This window comes from Homo sapiens, chromosome 9 (assembly GCF_000001405.40).
Source record: "Homo sapiens chromosome 9, GRCh38.p14 Primary Assembly".
Taxonomy (NCBI): domain Eukaryota; kingdom Metazoa; phylum Chordata; class Mammalia; order Primates; family Hominidae; genus Homo; species Homo sapiens.
Window position 1 is genome coordinate 86,972,256 of NC_000009.12, and position 17,064 is coordinate 86,989,319.

General features: G+C 39.6%; 1 long non-coding RNA gene across 1 annotated transcript in view; it reads left to right on the plus strand.

Moving 5' to 3' along the window:
- The window catches only part of GAS1RR (GAS1 adjacent regulatory RNA), a 53,336-nt gene that overhangs the window by 23,558 nt on the left and 12,714 nt on the right, over nt 1–17,064 (plus strand). The window contains exons 3-5 of the long non-coding RNA NR_049794.1: nt 9,515–9,670; nt 15,193–15,360; nt 16,547–16,651. This is a non-coding gene — a long non-coding RNA (GAS1 adjacent regulatory RNA). The remainder of the gene's footprint in view (nt 1–9,514; nt 9,671–15,192; nt 15,361–16,546; nt 16,652–17,064) is intronic.

Below are 17,064 nucleotides of genomic sequence, written 5' to 3' on the forward strand. Positions count from 1 at the left end.
TTCAGAGGACTTAAAATGGCGAATTCCTTAAGAGTCCTTGGATGATCAGAAAGCTCTCCTAACAACTCCAAACCATGGCTGGGAATCAGTGTTCTTATCCTTTAAAAAAAAAAAAGACCCATTAGTAGCACTCATTTTTAAGATTTGCTGTTCAGCATAATATTAAAGTCACCTGATCACTTTGCATTCATCTTAGTCAGTATTTTGAATTCCTAAGTTAATATCACCTTTAGAAATAAAGTCAAATGTCTTTGTTTTAGTTACATTATTAATCTTTCATAATGCAATTGAAAATGAACTCTAGTACCTGAATTTATTATTAATTTATTTTTAAAGTAGAGATAATCTTCATTTCTCTTACATGGGGCATTAAACACACATAAAACCAACCTACTAATGTAGATTCAATTCTTTTCCCTGGTGTAAACATGGTAGATCCCACAATGCATAGGCAACTGTGCTAGAAACGGGGCCTCAAGCTGCTTATTCCAAGCTTCCTCTCTGGTGAGCCTTGCCTACAACTCCTCTCCCCATCCCTGGGACTCAGATCCTCCTTAGCAAATGATCTTTCTCTCTCTCTGCTTGCTCTCTCTCTTGCCCTTCCCTCCCCACACCAATTTAAACAATAAAGGCAGAAGCATGAAACCAAGAAATTGCAGTGAGGAAAAGTATAGGTAATATGAGGGATGTTCTGCTTCCCCTATTTTGTGGGATTCATTGAGCAAATGATTTGTCATACAACCTAACTCCTGGTAAGACTAGCTTACCACCTAGTCTTACAAAGTATAGTTGACCACATTGACAGTTTTGCTTAAGGTGGGTCCTGAATATATAGAGCTTCTATAGACATTCCTGATTCTTCATGAAACTTGGCTTTCCTGAGCCATCTTTGCCATGAAAAGCATTTGGTAGCCCTTCCCTATGTTTCATCTCCCTCCTCTTCTCACATACACACACATTGCTGCTACTGCTCCTCTTCCTCCTCCTCACACACACACACCTCTCCCTTAAGAAAGAGTTTGAGAATCACAGAGCTAGAGATAGGACTTGCCTGAGTTCCAGAATATTCCTAATGATGAGGTAGATCACTTCAATCCCCAGAAACATGGATGTGGCATTGAAGAGTCATTGCAAATATGCTGCTAGTCTTCAGGGCTTCTTGCATTTGGTATTTAAAGTAGAGCTTCACTGTTCTCTGAGTTATAGTAGATTTTCAAATTTTTAACATATCTCACTTCCAATATACATAAACCATTAGATTAAGATTATTTTGAGCATAAATTATTTGAGATTATCCATGTGACTACCGACGTTGCATTTGATTATGTGACCAATAGCCAGCTATGAAATCTTCATCAATAAAATAATTTCAGGTGTCACTATAACTTCCTTACCCCAGAAAAAGACTACGATGACGCTCAGATAAGAATTTGATGTATTTGGCAACCTCAAAGTGTCGGAGGAGTATTTGTGAAGTTAAAAGAGTGTTCTAACCAAAGCTATACGGTTATTCCTTGTAGATGGTAAAGAAAGAATGAGAGCATTGTTGGGGTTTAAGGGATTGCATTAACAGAGCTCTGTGTAATATGGTGAAGTAAAACTCCACTGGGAGAGAGGCAGTTTTGCAAATTATGGTGCAGTCAGGTAATTACTCCTCTCCCTCCAAGTTTAGTTGATACTCTCTGAGATTTAAAGTTTGTCTCTGTGAGATATGTAAGTATGTGTGTTCAACAGTCTCTCCATCATGTAAAGGAAGCTAGATGGCTTGTTCATTGACTTAAAAGGCTAATTACCAACAATCACAATTCCTTCTAGTCTGCTGTTCCTCTCAGAGAGGAAAATGTTCTAAACTGGAGGAAGTATAGTGCTGGGCAGGGAAAAGGACAGATCGTGAGTTGAGCCTGTGATAAGAGCCAAAAAGCCTGCAGAGTTTCACACCATGGAGATTAGAAGAAGAAATGGTGGAGGGAGGTACAGGTCAGGTGGTCAAGGTCAAGGTGAATAACTTGAGTGTGACCTGGAGGAGATCCCTTATGAAGGCACTTTTCCTTTCAACTATAGGTGCTTTCCGCCAGAACGGTGAGAGAAGACAGTTTTAAAGTATAATTGTAAGTTTTTTAAAAGTTTTTTTCTCTTAGGATGTAGTTGTCTTGAAGTTACTCCATATCTTCAGGAAAATCTGATCATCCCTTTAGTCTTCAGTGACACGCAAGTGAAGAAGAGGAAACAGGACATTGAGGGAAGCTTGGCCAGGTACCAAATCAATGCCTCATCCCACCCATGCCTTATGGTTCCAGCTGGGAAAGGACAACACCCTTCCAAGGGGATGATGCTTGGTAATGACCATCAACAGCGAGTCAAGGTCCACCTTCAAGGAAGGGGCCATAGGGAGGAGCACTTGAGCTGAGATAGGACTTCCAAGAAGACATCCATAAATACTCAAGTGAGAAGAGACTTTTAGGTTGACAACCCAAGGAAAAAATGGAAAGTGAGGCTAAAAGAAAAGGATTTGTTAAGAAATACTTTAGGATGGCTATCCCTCCAACCTGTTTATCTCCAAGTTGTGAACTCTCCTCTACCCAAATTTATATCTCATGGCTTCACCCTCATGCTTCAGTTTAGAAGTTAAACTTCTCCAAGGAGTGTCACAACTATATATGATACCTTGGATATCTTATAGGATTTTGGACTTGGGTTTCAATTATTTTAAATCCATCCAAATGCCTTTTCTCTGCTGACAGCTCCACACTGCCCACTCAAATAAAAAAGACTCACCAGGAGAATAAATTATTTCTTCCCTTGTCAATGGTAATTTGTGTTCACTAAATTACCTCCAGATCTACTTTCCTGAGTCAAAAATAACTTCATAGTTTTTTTCCCCCCTCCATGTTTAGCTTGGAAAGACATATAGATTTAGAAGTTAACCTCTCTCTGTTAGATGCTCAAGAATAATTAAGCTCGTTTTCTTCTTAAATCAACCAGATGTTTCATTTTAAGATGGAACAATATGTGGTTTATTTGACCCAAGTTCTCATGAAAAGGCCATTGCTTTCATTTTGATAGTCCTGCTTTGCGAGAGGTAAAAATGAAAAACATCTTTAAGAGAATTCCATCTTTTTTTTTCCCTGGGAACAATGCTCAGTCTCAATAGGAAACCACATTTTTTAAGAACATGAAAGTTATTACTGATGATGTCCCGCAATCTGATCAAACACTTAAGGGACAGCCGTCACGTTATGATTTTACCGCACTGTTCTTCATAACTTTCAAAAGAGACTTAAATGTCTACTGTGTCAAGATTTGTTTCTGGCAAGGCATTTATTTACACTATTTCTTTGTCACTTTAGTGTTTTCTTCTAATCAAGCTAGGCTAATATGCTTAGGGCACCTTTCATTTTTGTCTTAAAAAATACCAATAAATGGTTAAGGGTAGTTTTTACAACATGGTGAGTGTTATTTCACAATGTTTCATTAGCCACAAATCCTCAAGTCACTTTTAAGAATTCCAGATGCCCTACTGTAGGTATTTTTGCAGCTGTTTTGTGGGAAATCATGAAAGTGCAACTCCTTTTGACAAAAAAGAGCATATCTCATTTCTACAGGGATTGGTCTCTTTTTACTGTACTTTATAGTAACAAAAAGGGCAATGTAAAGACAGCTGTGTACTGTATATAGTTTCTCCATGTGTCTGAAGTTCAGATAGTGAAAATATCTTCTAATTTGTAAACTACTATGATTTTACTTTGAAGGAAGTCTTTCTTTTAAATTGGTTATGAAATATTTGAAGTTACAACTTTCTTTCTATTATTTGCAGCACACAATTGGGCCTGAAATTTTTTTTATCTGGATCCAATAATTTTGCTTTTGAAATGCATTTTATTATTCTTTGTAACTAAATTCCTAAGTCGACTCCATGCATTCTTTTACTTAGGAGACAACACAGTGAATATAACTGTCGATAACTATTAACTCCTCCTCTAAACTATTAACTATTAACTATCTCCAATCCTCTTAGTATTACATATTTCCTTTAAATTTTTTTTTTCAATTTTGAAAGTTGTATATTTCAGGATGTTATGAATAGCTATTTACTGATATCTTATACCTCAAGAATATTTTGCTGCATAGACAGCCACAGTTTATACATTTTATAAAGAAAGAAGGAAGAAAAGGTTTTCCTTGTGTTAGTTCCAGTACCACACGATCTGTAGTTTTCATCATCGGGCTGTCCCTGAATTGTAATGTGCCCAGTGCTTATTTCTTTCTAACAAAATCACTTAAAAAATGTTGAAACTGGAGATTTAGGGCTCAACGGACCTAAAGGAATTCACATTGCTAAGATTTTGGCTACAGTGTCAAGACTAGACCTGTGATAAACAGGACCTGTGATAAAAGGAAAATAGATGAGGGTCTGGAGATGGGAGGTCATCCTTTGACTCTAGCTCCTTCTAGCTGTGGGTGACATCATTTAGAGCCAATTATGTAGACCCTTACATTTTATAGATGAGGAAACCAATGCTCAGATGTACAAAATTTCGTCTAGAATTTCATAGACCACCCAATGTAAAAAAGGTCAGTTTTCTTATTTTGCCATTTTGTCCTTAACTTCTATTGCTTAAACCTGGGCTTATAGACCTCAGAGTGGGTTCAGAGGAAAGTTGTTCATTCCACAATAGGCAAAGTGACTTAGTAAAACTGTGGGGATGCTGAGCTGAAAAGACACAGTGTCTGTCCTCAGAAGGCTTGACATCTAGTGAGAAATCAACACACAGCCCCGGGATTACAATACACAAAGGCAGATGCCCTGTTGAGGCAGGAATAGAGTTGGGTAGGACAGAAACAAGTGAGGAGGGCAGTGGTTTATGATGCTTGAAGTAGAGTGGAGATGGCCTCCCTGGGCAGACAGAATGACATCCAGACCATGAGGACCTGGAGTGGTGTCTCTGTTACCGAATGCAGGTGTAGAGGGCCGGGGGAGAGGCTGCACAGCAAGTCACAGTGGGATTCTGTAGCCTTTGTCTGCTCTGCCAAGGAGCTTAGATTATTCTACTGTGGACATCAGGGATTCCTTAAAGCATTTAGAACAGGGAAATGACATGCCTGACTTTCCATATTCTAAAGATGATTCACCCATGCCATGCTTTTCTCTCATTGCTATGACAAAACTTGCAGGTTTGAGGGGAAGGCAAAAAATTTCATCTCACCCTAATCAGGCGAAAGTCAGAAAATAACTCTGAAAAGCAAAAGAAGAAATAACCTCCTGACTTAATATTTATCTGAATCACCTCCAAAGTATTCAGTTTACAAGAATTTTCAGGCCTGTCATTGTTTTACTCAAAACTCTTTATTACAATTTAAAGTACTACGTGTAAGACAATTCTTTCCTTAAATTCAACAAAATATTTAGTTCCACTGAAGTGGTTGACTTGTGAAATTGTTTCTGCTTTTCTTTAAAGGATGTTGTAATTTATTGGATCTTTTATTGGACTTAAGGGACCAATTTATTTACATATACTCATATGATCCTTGGGATCAGATGGTCCTTAGCCTAAAACCCTGCTCTTCTAAGTAGAGTGGGAAATTATCAGGACAATGGCACTTTTGTCTTAGGTGTCCTGGGAGAATGAAATATGGTAATGCATTTCTAGTGATTTGTACCATGTGGCACATAGCAGGTGAACCAAAAATGTGAGCTCCTGCCTCCACTTGTGGCAGGCCTACAGGAGAGTGAGTTCTGTTTGATGAGGGCATGGCTGAGCTGGATGGCACAGATTCTGTGAGTCCACTTTACCATCACAGCCTCCTAGGAAACACAACTTGTTCATCAGCCAGCACTGGGAATCCAGGTAAATTAAGCAAGGACTTTGCGACACTTGTCAAGTAAAAAGAAAGCTGTCCGAAGTCAAAATGAGGTTCTTAAGGGAAAGAAAGGAAGGGAACAGCCAGACAGCATATTATGTAATTAAAGCTGGAGTCAAACATCATTAAATGGGGCAAAATTCTGGTTGAAAATGTTTAAAAAGTATTAATTTTTAAAGATATATAGTTATACTTATTTCGGGTAGATATAATAACTTAAGCTATGTTAATAAGGGCCTTCCTAGCAGGGAAAATGAAAATGCCTGGCTTAATAAAACAAAATAACAAATTTAGTATTAGAATTTAGAATGTTAATAATTCATATGGAGAGATTGGAGATAGCTTGTTTTCTTAACTGGTTTTAAAAAACCTCTGAAGTGTTATTTATATTGTTAATTTATTCAGCTAACTTTTCCTCCCTGGACTGTGGGACCATAAGCTTCAGTGCAGCTGCTGCTCAAATCTTCCTTAATTCCCAAGGGAAGTCTGCACTAATGACGCTATACGATATTCAAGGGTAAAAGACTTGGGCCACATCATTGGTGAACTATTCATGGACATAGAAGATAAAATAGATTCTTAATCAGTTGAGACTTGGAAAATATGTTCCAAAAATCTCTTTCTTTTCCTCTTGAAATATGTAGTGTTACAAAGCACATGTGCTCACATAGCCTAGATACCTAGGCTAAGAATGTTTTCTAAACTAAAAAAAAAAAAAGATTATAGACAGGAAAAATATTGAATGAAAAGAGTATCCACAAATAAAAGGAGAATAACATTTCAATATCCAAAGGCTTACTGTGGTCAGCTTGGAGACACAGGATGTGACATTTGAGTAATTAATGGAAAGTCTTTGTAGGAGCAGTGATGATCACGCTTTCCAGAAAAGCAAAGGGAAGGGCCACATTCCCTGTCCCAATCCGGCTGGCTCCATCCTGAGCATTCAGACCACTTTGCTGAGGCCTTTAACTGCATCCCAGTGACACAACTCACACAACAGTCACAGTCACCAATGCAACTCTGGCGCCAGCAAGCTTTAGTTTGTTAGGAAAGAAGTACTACTTTCCATGTATGTTTAAATAGTACAGACACATAATATTAAAAAAACAGAAGCCCTGAGTATGTAATTTGATGCTAAGCCTTTGCAAAATAGGCAGAGATCCAAATATTTTTCTCTGCTAAAAGAGTTGAAAATATGTTTCCAGGGGTGACTTGGCTGGAGAGGTTACCACTTGGGATTGGTGAGCTGAAAAGTCTGATTTGCAGACGATCCATATTTCTGAGACAACCACGAGAGCGCCTAGGGTTGACTGAGATCCAAATAGAAGGTAGTCTCTACAGTTGAACTTTCCAGGCTAGCCAAGTGGGAACGTGAGTGTGGTAGCGGGTGGAGGGGAGGTGGGGGAACAGATCTTATTTTTGAAGCTTTAGACTCAGATTATGGAATCAAGTGAAATGGTGCAAGACCCACTCAAGGTTAGTTAGTTATAAATTCGGACTCTAGAATTCTTTGTGAGGAGTTACTCCCTAGGTTATTAGAGATAATACATTGCTTGAAGGCTATTATCTTGATGGTAGTCTGGTGATAGGGAGATGCCTATAGCTTGCCAGCTAGGAAAATGGCTATCCCTGGACACCCATGAGGTCCTGGGCCCTTTAAGTCAGGTCAACTATATCCTACTGGGCTCCAAAGGCAAATCTTTCAACTCAGCAGATGTTTTATGTAATCTTCCAGGTCCTTCCCTGCTGCTCCCAACATGCGTGTACTTGCTTTCATTTCCTGGCTTCAGATATCTGGGTTCCTATGGTAGCTGCTGTATCTGACTTGGTTCTCCTTCAGGTTTGGCAGTGACCCTCCTGGTGGACTAGAGCTGAACACTGCCACCCATTGTAGACCCCAGCCTGTGAAACAATTCCCATAGTCAAGCCTGCTACCACCTCTCTCCCAAATAAGTTCTGGACTCCTTCTTGTCAGAAATAAATGGCTTCCCTTAAGCCTTATGCAAAAAGAGAGAAACATGACTAATACCTGGTCCTTACTTTCAAGGAACTTACAGTCAATTGCGTCAGATACGGTACAAGAAAATTGAGCTAATGTTACGGTAAGTCTTATGCTACAAGTGTCAAATGGATAGCAGGTGCTCTGTGGTTAGGAGGAGGGAGGGGACACTTCTTTTCGGAGAGACCAGAAACAAAGTGTCTACAAGAAGGATTTTTAGGGATCTACAAATAGTTTTTTAAAATTAGTTATCTATTGCTATTGTAACAAATTACTGCAAACTTAGTAGCTTAGCACAAGACAAATTTATTACCTTCCAGTTCTGTAGGTCAGAATCTGACATGGTCTCACCTGACTAGAATCAAGGCATTGGCAAGACTTCATTCCTTCTGGAGGCTTTGGGGGACAATCTGCTTCCAGGCTTATTTGGATTGTTGGCAGAATTCAGTTCCATGTGGTTGTAGGACTGGGGTTCCCGTTTCCTTTTTGGCTGTCAGCGGGGGTCAGCTTTAGCTCTCAAAGACCTCTCTCCACACCTTGCAATGGTCCAACCCCTACAGTTCAGGATCAGAATCTTCTCATGCTGCACTTCTCTTCTGATTCATCTGTCTACCTTCCATTTCCACTCTCAAGCACCCTGTGATTACCCAGGGCTCACGCTGTTTATCCAGGATAATCTCCTTATTTGAAGGTCGATTATCAACCTTAATTACATAACATAATCACAAGCATAAAACATCGGGTGAAAGTCATGGGGGCCAAAATCCTGCCTAGCACCGTGTTTTTGTGATATCATAAGCTGGTGGGAGAATGGAATTCAGAGGAGTGAAGGGCAGAACCTAAATCACATTTTCATTAAGCACCTAGCAGGTGCTAAGTATGACTCAAGTTTGGAAGGACAAGTTAAGTCAGGACTCATTGCTTCCTCAACACCTCAGCCTCAAGGGGAAGACAGGTTTATTTTTAAATAAATTGCAATACAATCAGCTACATGCAACATCAATAACCAACATTCAGAATTTTGTAGTTTTATTTTGATAGAGTACTTTTTTCTCTTGAATTTCACAAGTTGGCACATATTTATGACCATGAAAAGAAGTTCTGATCAAGGCATTGGCCAAAAACTGCAAAAAATGAGGTGGAATCTAAGGGAGACCCATTCTCAATTGCCCCATCATTCACACCACAGCACTGACCCTGACCTGCCATGTTGCATTACTTTCAACTTTTTCACCCAACGTGGAATATTCTCTCCTTTCAATTGTAGCACAAAATAATATTTAAGGCAGAAAACCAGACTGTAATAGCAACATTCCAGTTGATATTTTGAAGCTCATTAGATCCATTCTTAGTCCCCAGGCAGCATTCTCCACTCTCCAACATTCACTCATTTTCTCCCCTGTTTCCACTTTTACCCAGTTGTATACTCAATAAGAAAATGAGGAATAGAAGACATTTAATTTACTTTGAAAAATTAGTCTCCCCATCCCAACCCTAATGGAGTGTTACAGACAGTGAAGCCATTCAATAAAGGTTTAGCAAATTGAAAAACAAAAATGCAAAGAAAAGAAACAAAACAAAGTCCTTGGTTTTAGGGATTTTAAGTGAGTAGACAGGAAATGGCATTTGCTACCTGAATCTTTTTATCTTTTTCAGGCAGAGGTGCTGAGCAGCTAATTGGAGGGGATAGTATGAGCCTCCAAAGATTAGGGAAGAAAATTGCAGTTGAAGAAAACTTGCTTTGGTTCAATGCAAAAATAATGGGATGAATGGCATGCTGAAATATCATATGACTTACGAAAATGATGAATGGTAAGACCATTGTACATCTTCCATAAAAGCAGGCATTTAAAGCAGACATTGAGAACACTTGGTTCTATGTTCATCCCTTGCTGATCTCTTTGCCCCATGTAACGCTGTTTGTATTCTGGTTTTGGTTACTCTGGAATGGCCAGTGATTCCCAAACTCAATAAGAGGAGAAATGATGACAAGAAGCAAAGGCCGTCTACAGCCCTCACGTTAGGTAAGCAACCAGGTAGTAAGTCACCAGAAATGCGCTGTCATTCATGGGAAGGTTCCCAAAGAGTCAATGGAACATGAGTTCCCTAGGTTAAAAGCCAGTGGCTCACTGGTCTCACTTTAAAGCTTCAACCCCAGGTTCTCCCATCCACATCTCAACAGGCCTTCCTGAAAATATGTTAGGCTACATGGCAAAGGGCAATAAAGTTGCTAATCAGCTGACTTTAAAATAGGGAGATCATCCAGGAGGGCCCAACGTAATCAGAAGCAACCTGAAATGTGGAGGAAGAGGCAGAAGAACCAAAGTCCGAAGGAACATGGTGATGGAAGCAAGATAGGATGGATGTCGTGTGAGGACTCAGCCTGCCACTGCTGGCCTTGAAGATCGAGAAAGGGGAAGGAATGCAGGAGTGTCAAGAAGCTGGAAAAGGCAAGGAGATGGATTATCCCCCAGAATCTCCAGAAAGGAATGCAACTCTGCCCATCACTTGATTTTAGCCCAGTGAGAGCCATGTCAGAATTCCAGCCAACGGAACTGTCAAGAAGCAAATTAGTGTTGTTTTAAGCCACCAAGGTTGTGGCAATTTGGGCTAGCAGTCATAGGAAACAAAGAGCAGCATCATTGAATCAATCCCCAATGTGTGTTAACTGTGGTGAAGGACCCCGGGATGCCCATGGATAAGAAGCCCTTATCTTGAATCATTCTTTGTGCAGGACTGAGTGACAGACTGTCCAAGAAGTCACAAGAAAAAGGTCACTATAACTCTCAACTTGTCAAGCTTCAAATTCTGTGTGTAGAAACAAATTTCCAAGTTCTAGTCTGTTGTAGAGATTAAAAGCTAATATCATAAGGGCCAAATTCAGCAGTCAGACTCTTTACTTGCATGGATTTTTTTAATTGAATTGGTAGCCAAGATTTAAAAATGTATCCTAAACATCAGGATTTTTGACTTTTCTTGGAAAAAAATAGAAAATCTTGCCATATTTGCATTTTCAGGATAGAAGAGTAGTGAATGTCCCTCTAGACAAAGAATGCTCTCTCTGGTTGTCACTGTCCCCACTACTGTACCGTCTCGCATCCCCTCCAACTGTCCTATGTGGTCCTCTGGGCACCTGAGTTTGCAATTCCTGGTACACTGCTTATATACAGTTTCAATACTGGCTTAATTAGGGTAAGGTACTAAAGGCAATCTAGTTAGTTGCAATGTTTCATCCTGCGTGATTGCACAGTGCCTTCATCAATTTCAGAAAAAAAACCTCAGAGATGAGATTGTTTGGCCCATTGCCCCATTCCTTCCAAATTCTTAAGCTATGCAGCACCAAGAAACACTGGCGTGGGTGCCTGATAGGGAATTTCCAGGCCTGCTTAATGACTCCAATTCTGATCAGCTAAATCTTTACTCCCTTGCGAATATATCCAAATCTGACTTCAGCAGATAAGGAGAGAATTTTTCGAAGGATAGAAATCAAGCTGGAATACTTTCAATGTGGTACACAATGTGCTCAAACAAAAAGTCAGATGATCTGATAGCGTCTTCATATGTGCAGGACTTAGAGAAATCCTTGTGCCCTTTCATTAGATTAACAGCATGTACATTCTGACATCAGCTGCAACATGAGCTGGTATTGCAAAATGTGCTTTGGAATCCTGACGCATTAATTGTTATGTTTGGCTTTATTACCAACATATCTTTTTACTCATATCTGAATGCCGATGGTTATGGGCCAACATTTTTGGAAAAACGATACCTTGCAAGCTCACACTTGAAACGGCTCTGAACAGTAAGAGAAGGTCATAGATATGGGAATAAGAGAGGAAAGTCGGCTCACAAGAGTCAATGTCCTGAGCGGCTAGGCAGGAAGGCACCTTTTCCGTGACAGCCTGTGCGTCTTCAGAACACAATGCAGTGAATAATCAGCCATAGATGGGCAAGGGGGAGGCCTGGTCGGGCTTTTGACACAGCCCTCTGTAGGCGTGATGGATGTGGAGAAACTCAACCCTTCCCAGGGGGGTCAGGTGGCACCATCAAAACAAAGAGTGCAAACAGTTCAGTCCTGGAAAAGAACTCCCCCCACACTTACCCCCCTTTCTTTTTGCTGTTTGTGCCAAAAAGTTACAGTATCCAGCCATTCCTGATTAAGTTGGAAATCTATGCAAAGAAAAGAAAAATGAAGCCAATGTGAACATGCACATATTTAAATTGTGCAAAATTTCTACAGAAATAAATAAATAAATAAATAAACAAACTGGCATTGATTTCCAAGGCTGGGTGAAAAAAAAAATCCACTTTCTGGATTAGAGGGCAAGACATTATCCAAATTGGCAAAAAAAAAAGTTCTCCCAAAACTTTCCTTTGGAGGCTGTCGATAAAAACAAACCAGAGGAGGATGGTTCTTCCTCTGACCCTGGGGCCAGCCTGAGAAGATGAAGAAAAGAAACAGAGTATGTGTGTGCCTGCTGTCCCAACCAGAAAACCTTTGAAAAATAATCTTTTTCTGCCCTTTCATTGTTTTCTTGTCTTTTTACATCTCTGAGCAGTGATTCTGTTGGGTTTGGATTTATTTGAGCTTTTGGTAAAATACACCACTACTCCTACCTCTCCTTCCCCGCTAAATCTAGGCTCCTAGGAATTTTAGAAATATCTATAAATTTGCTTAATTGCCAGCCAGTTTCTCCATTTCTAGGCAACTGGCTTCCCTTAGCTGTAATGTCAGAATCTGACCTATGGCATCAGGGTCTCGTTTATCTGATGACTACCAAATGTTAAGGGCGCCGTCAGCCCGCTTTGCATGCCTCTACAACTGGGCATTAGATACCTGGCCTTGGAGCAGGTATCTGAACAGCTCTTCAGCCCTTATCCAAATGGGTGGAAGAGAGCCAGTTGAGAAGGGAGCTTTTGGGAAGATGTGACAGTAAACAGCACCTGCTGTGTACCAAGCAATGGGCTGAGCTTTACTTTGCGCTATGCCCACAGGCATTCAAAGGGCCAATTTTGTCAGTCTTACTTTTACCAATAAAATTCATGGAGAAATTTAATATCTTGACAATCTTAAGCCAGTACATGGTAAAGCTGGCATTGCAAACCAAGGCTGCCTGCCTCTGAAGCTTTACTTATCCACAGAGTCCCATTCTTACTCCCAACAGAAACTTCTAGAAAGATACTTTGATGTTTGCTCTTTTAAACTTCTTATCTCTCATCTAATCCCTCATCACAGAGAATTCCCGCAGAGAGAATTAGATATGGCAGCAAGAGCTTTGCAGAAGTAATTATTAGCACGCCTCAGCTCAAAATTGATTTCCACTCTTGGACCCAGACTCTATCTCAGAGGCAGGCTGTCAGGATAGAAAATGAGGGTTCCATATAATTTAGGCCATTTAGATCACTCTGCTGGCCCCCAGCCACCCACAGCCACCACTGTGTTCATATGGCTTTAAACAAATAACTAGTTTTAAATAAGTAAGAATTTGGATTGTGACAGCTTTATGGGAAAATGTCAGAAGCAGAGTTGTTTCTGAGGGACTAGTTCAGTGGGCAGCGGACAATGAATCCTGTCTGAAAACACAGCATCAGGCAATTAGAGGAACACAGGGATTCCTGGACGGCCATCTACTCTCTACCTTCCTTCTCCCAGCAATCCCTTGGCTCAGTTTTGGACTTTCCCTCTCATGGTGTAAGTTTTGATTCCAGACACCCATTTTGTGTGCTTACACAAAAGGACAGGGCAATGGCATGCAAAGATCATGGGCTGTGAATGAGAATACCTGCTTTTCAATAGTTGTACCATATTAACAAACTGTGTGACCTTGGGCTAGTTACCTAACTTCTCTGGGCCCTTCTTTGTAAAATCAATTGTTCTAAGTCTGGAAACAGTGTAAATAACATACTACCTGGCTTATAGTAGACAGCTAAGTAAAACTTTTCCTTTTCTCTTCACTCTTCTACTAACTTGCTTCTTCAGGAATGCCCTAATTCCAAGGGGTTCCCTTCTTTTTTTGCAAGCCTTATATATTTTAAGAACTGCTTAATTTGATGATGGCATTGAAGATTGAAATCTTGCATTTTATTCATGAGCTGTGTACTGCTGATGGTATTGTTTAACTTCTCTGAGCCTCTATGTTCTTATCTATAAGTTCTTGATAATAATTGTGATGCAGTTCATTTCCAACCAAACAGCCATTTAGTACCTTCTTCTCTGCACAAAGGGCCTAGATTTTGGGTCCATGTAGCCAGCAGAGGTCTCTCAACATGAGGGAAGACCCAGACCCAGTGGACAAATTCTGGTTGATCTAATGTAATGATACTAGCTCCATTCTTCTTTACCAATGAGTGCTCTAGGGGGAGTATAAATGATAACCACTTTTAGCCAAAGAAATAAAAATGGAAGTTTTAAGGTGGAGCCCCAAGAGAAAAAAGCCTTTTGTCCACTACTTTCCACTTAGTTGTTGATGGTGGATGCAATGCCTAGAGAACTGGCAGCCATCTTGACCCTATGAGGTGACAGCACAAGGATGAATACAAATATGCTAATGATGATGGAAGGGATGGTGGGAAAAAGCCAATATTGTGATATAATATTGTAAAATTAATTATCTTGAAGATGTTGTAATTCAGACATAAAGAAATAGTAAAAACCAAATAGTTCTCATTACTAAAGATTGAATGATTTTACTTATGGCTGTCCAAGCAATTCCATTCTCTCCTGTTAGCTGTGAGCCTATTTGACTTACCCTTTTGGCCTGAGGTGAATTTCAAATCTGTCAGTGTCACTGATTGGATAAACAACTTGCAGGGAAAGGAGGTTGTAACTGAGTCATTTGTTGATTATTTGTGGATTATAAGTTGTCTAGAGAGTAGAAAAAAGACTGAAAATGCTAGCCGTGAGCAAAAGTAGTTCATTCGTAAATTCAATCAACATTTATTAAGGTCCTCAATTAGGTGGTGGGAAAACAAGGTCAAATAAGTTAGTGCCCTGTCATTACAGGGCTTAGCAACAACTCAGTAGAGAAAGATATGTGACAACTCAGTAAAGAAAGATAAGTGAACACGTCCAATCGTCCCTCAGTATCCATTGGGGATTGGTGTCAGGACCTCCTATGGATACTAAAATCTGTGGATTCTCAAGTCCTTTATATTAAATGGCATAGTATTTGCATATAACTTATGCACATCCTCCCTTATACTCTAAGTCATCTAATACAATGTAAATGCTATGTAAATAGTTATTATACTGTATTGTTTAAGGGACAATAACAAAAAAAGTCTGTACATGCTTAACACAGGTGAAATTTTTTTCCAAATATTTTTTATTCGAGGTTTATTGAATCTACATATGTGGAACCCATGAATGGGAGTCGGAGAAGGGGGCAACTGTATACGCAAAAAGCTATCATAATTGCCAAAATAGTGATAACAATGTTGAAACACTACTGGGATTACTACTGTTAATGACTACCAGTGATCAAGCACCTCCCCTGCCCCAGGTACTGTCCCAAGTACTTTGTAAATACTGCCTTTTATGATATTTATAACAATTCTTTGTGGTCAGTCCAACTGTCATGCCTGTGTTAGAGGTGAGCCTCTGAGACCCAAATGCACACAGCTAGTTAATGGAGTAGCTAGAATTCACATCTAGGTCTTTCTAATTGCAAAGCTCATAATCCTGACAACCAAGCCATGGTAGAGATTCCAACAGAGTAAGGTGGAGCTTGAAAAGGAGGAAGGAATTAATTTTGCTGGGGGTACTACAGCAGGGAGTGGAAGTTAGGAGCGGGGGAAGTAGGAGGAAGAGTAAGGAAGGTCTTTAAAAGGAGGTGACCCTCCATGGAAGCTCAACTTCCTGGAGAAAAACTTCTCAGAAGAAAATGTATGATGTGCAGTTCTTTAGCATATTATCTAATATGAAGGAGTAGGGGGGATAGAGGCAGAATGGTATCTGAACTGGCCCAGTGGCCCCCCTCCCCGCCCCTGCCAAGAAAACTGCAAGTTCCAATGCAATTGGGACATCAGGGACCTGGGAGAATTATTAGAGCTGTTTATTTTGCCAAAGTACATACTTGAAATCTCATGCATCAAAAGTTTTCTCTGAATACAAAATACTGTGATTGTCTACATTAGACCAAGGAAACATTATATTCAAAGAGAAGGAGAGAAGTTTGAACATACTTATTTAGCATATGAAAGTGGGTGTTCGTGCCAAAAATAATTCTGTGTGGTAGAAACCTACTTAGGCAGTGTCTAAACTAACACAGCAGAACATGTGATGTGAAGATTTGGTGGCTGTAATTCATGCCAACCAGATCCCCCACAACCAGATTTGGTCTGTGAGACCCTCCTCATCCAGCCTCTGCCTTGTTCTGTGGCCTTAGGCTCAGTGGTCTAACTTTTAGCACTCCACTTGCGCTATCGGGTTTTGCCATACAGTTCTAACAACTAAGTATTTTAACCAAGCTAAGGCCTGGACAACACTGAAATATAAGAGGTAAAATAAGATTTTGCTGTCTTTTGAATTATTCAAATATTAAATATTAATATTATCAATCTGTAATTACTTGAATAATATTACTTTGTGAAGATTCTGTTTCTAGTAGATAAGGCCTTGAATACTTCTTTGAACTTTTTGAAAGTGTATACCTATTTTTTAAGTGTATACTTGTTTTTTAAAAACAGTGTTTGCCTGCCTTGTTTGAAGACACGAAAAAATGTACACAAAATGATTTAGAACTGTTGAACTTTTCAGAAAATAATTTAAAATCATCTACCTCATAACTAAAGGTATGTTTTTTTAAAATTACAAATCAATTTCAGCAAGTTTTAAAGTTGATAATATCTCATCCTGTTTTGGGTATACCATGTACAGTAATTAGTACTGTACTTAATTAAAACGATCAGTAATTCTTATCATTTTAAAGAGGGCAAACTGAAGTGATCTTTTTTCAGTGGCAAGAAAACCCCCAACTCTCAGCATAGCCACATTAACCTTCTTTTCGTTCCACAAATTAGCCAAGCTCATTTCATTCCTCAAGTCTCTGCACTTACTGTTTCTTCTTTTTGCTACATTCTTCCCAGAAATACTTGCTTTTCGTCTTTTGTATTTCATTCAGGTCAAATGTCAAATGTTCCTATTTCAGAAAATGTGTCCCCCCCTACCCCTCACCAACTCACCCAGTTATGCAGACCAAAAACCT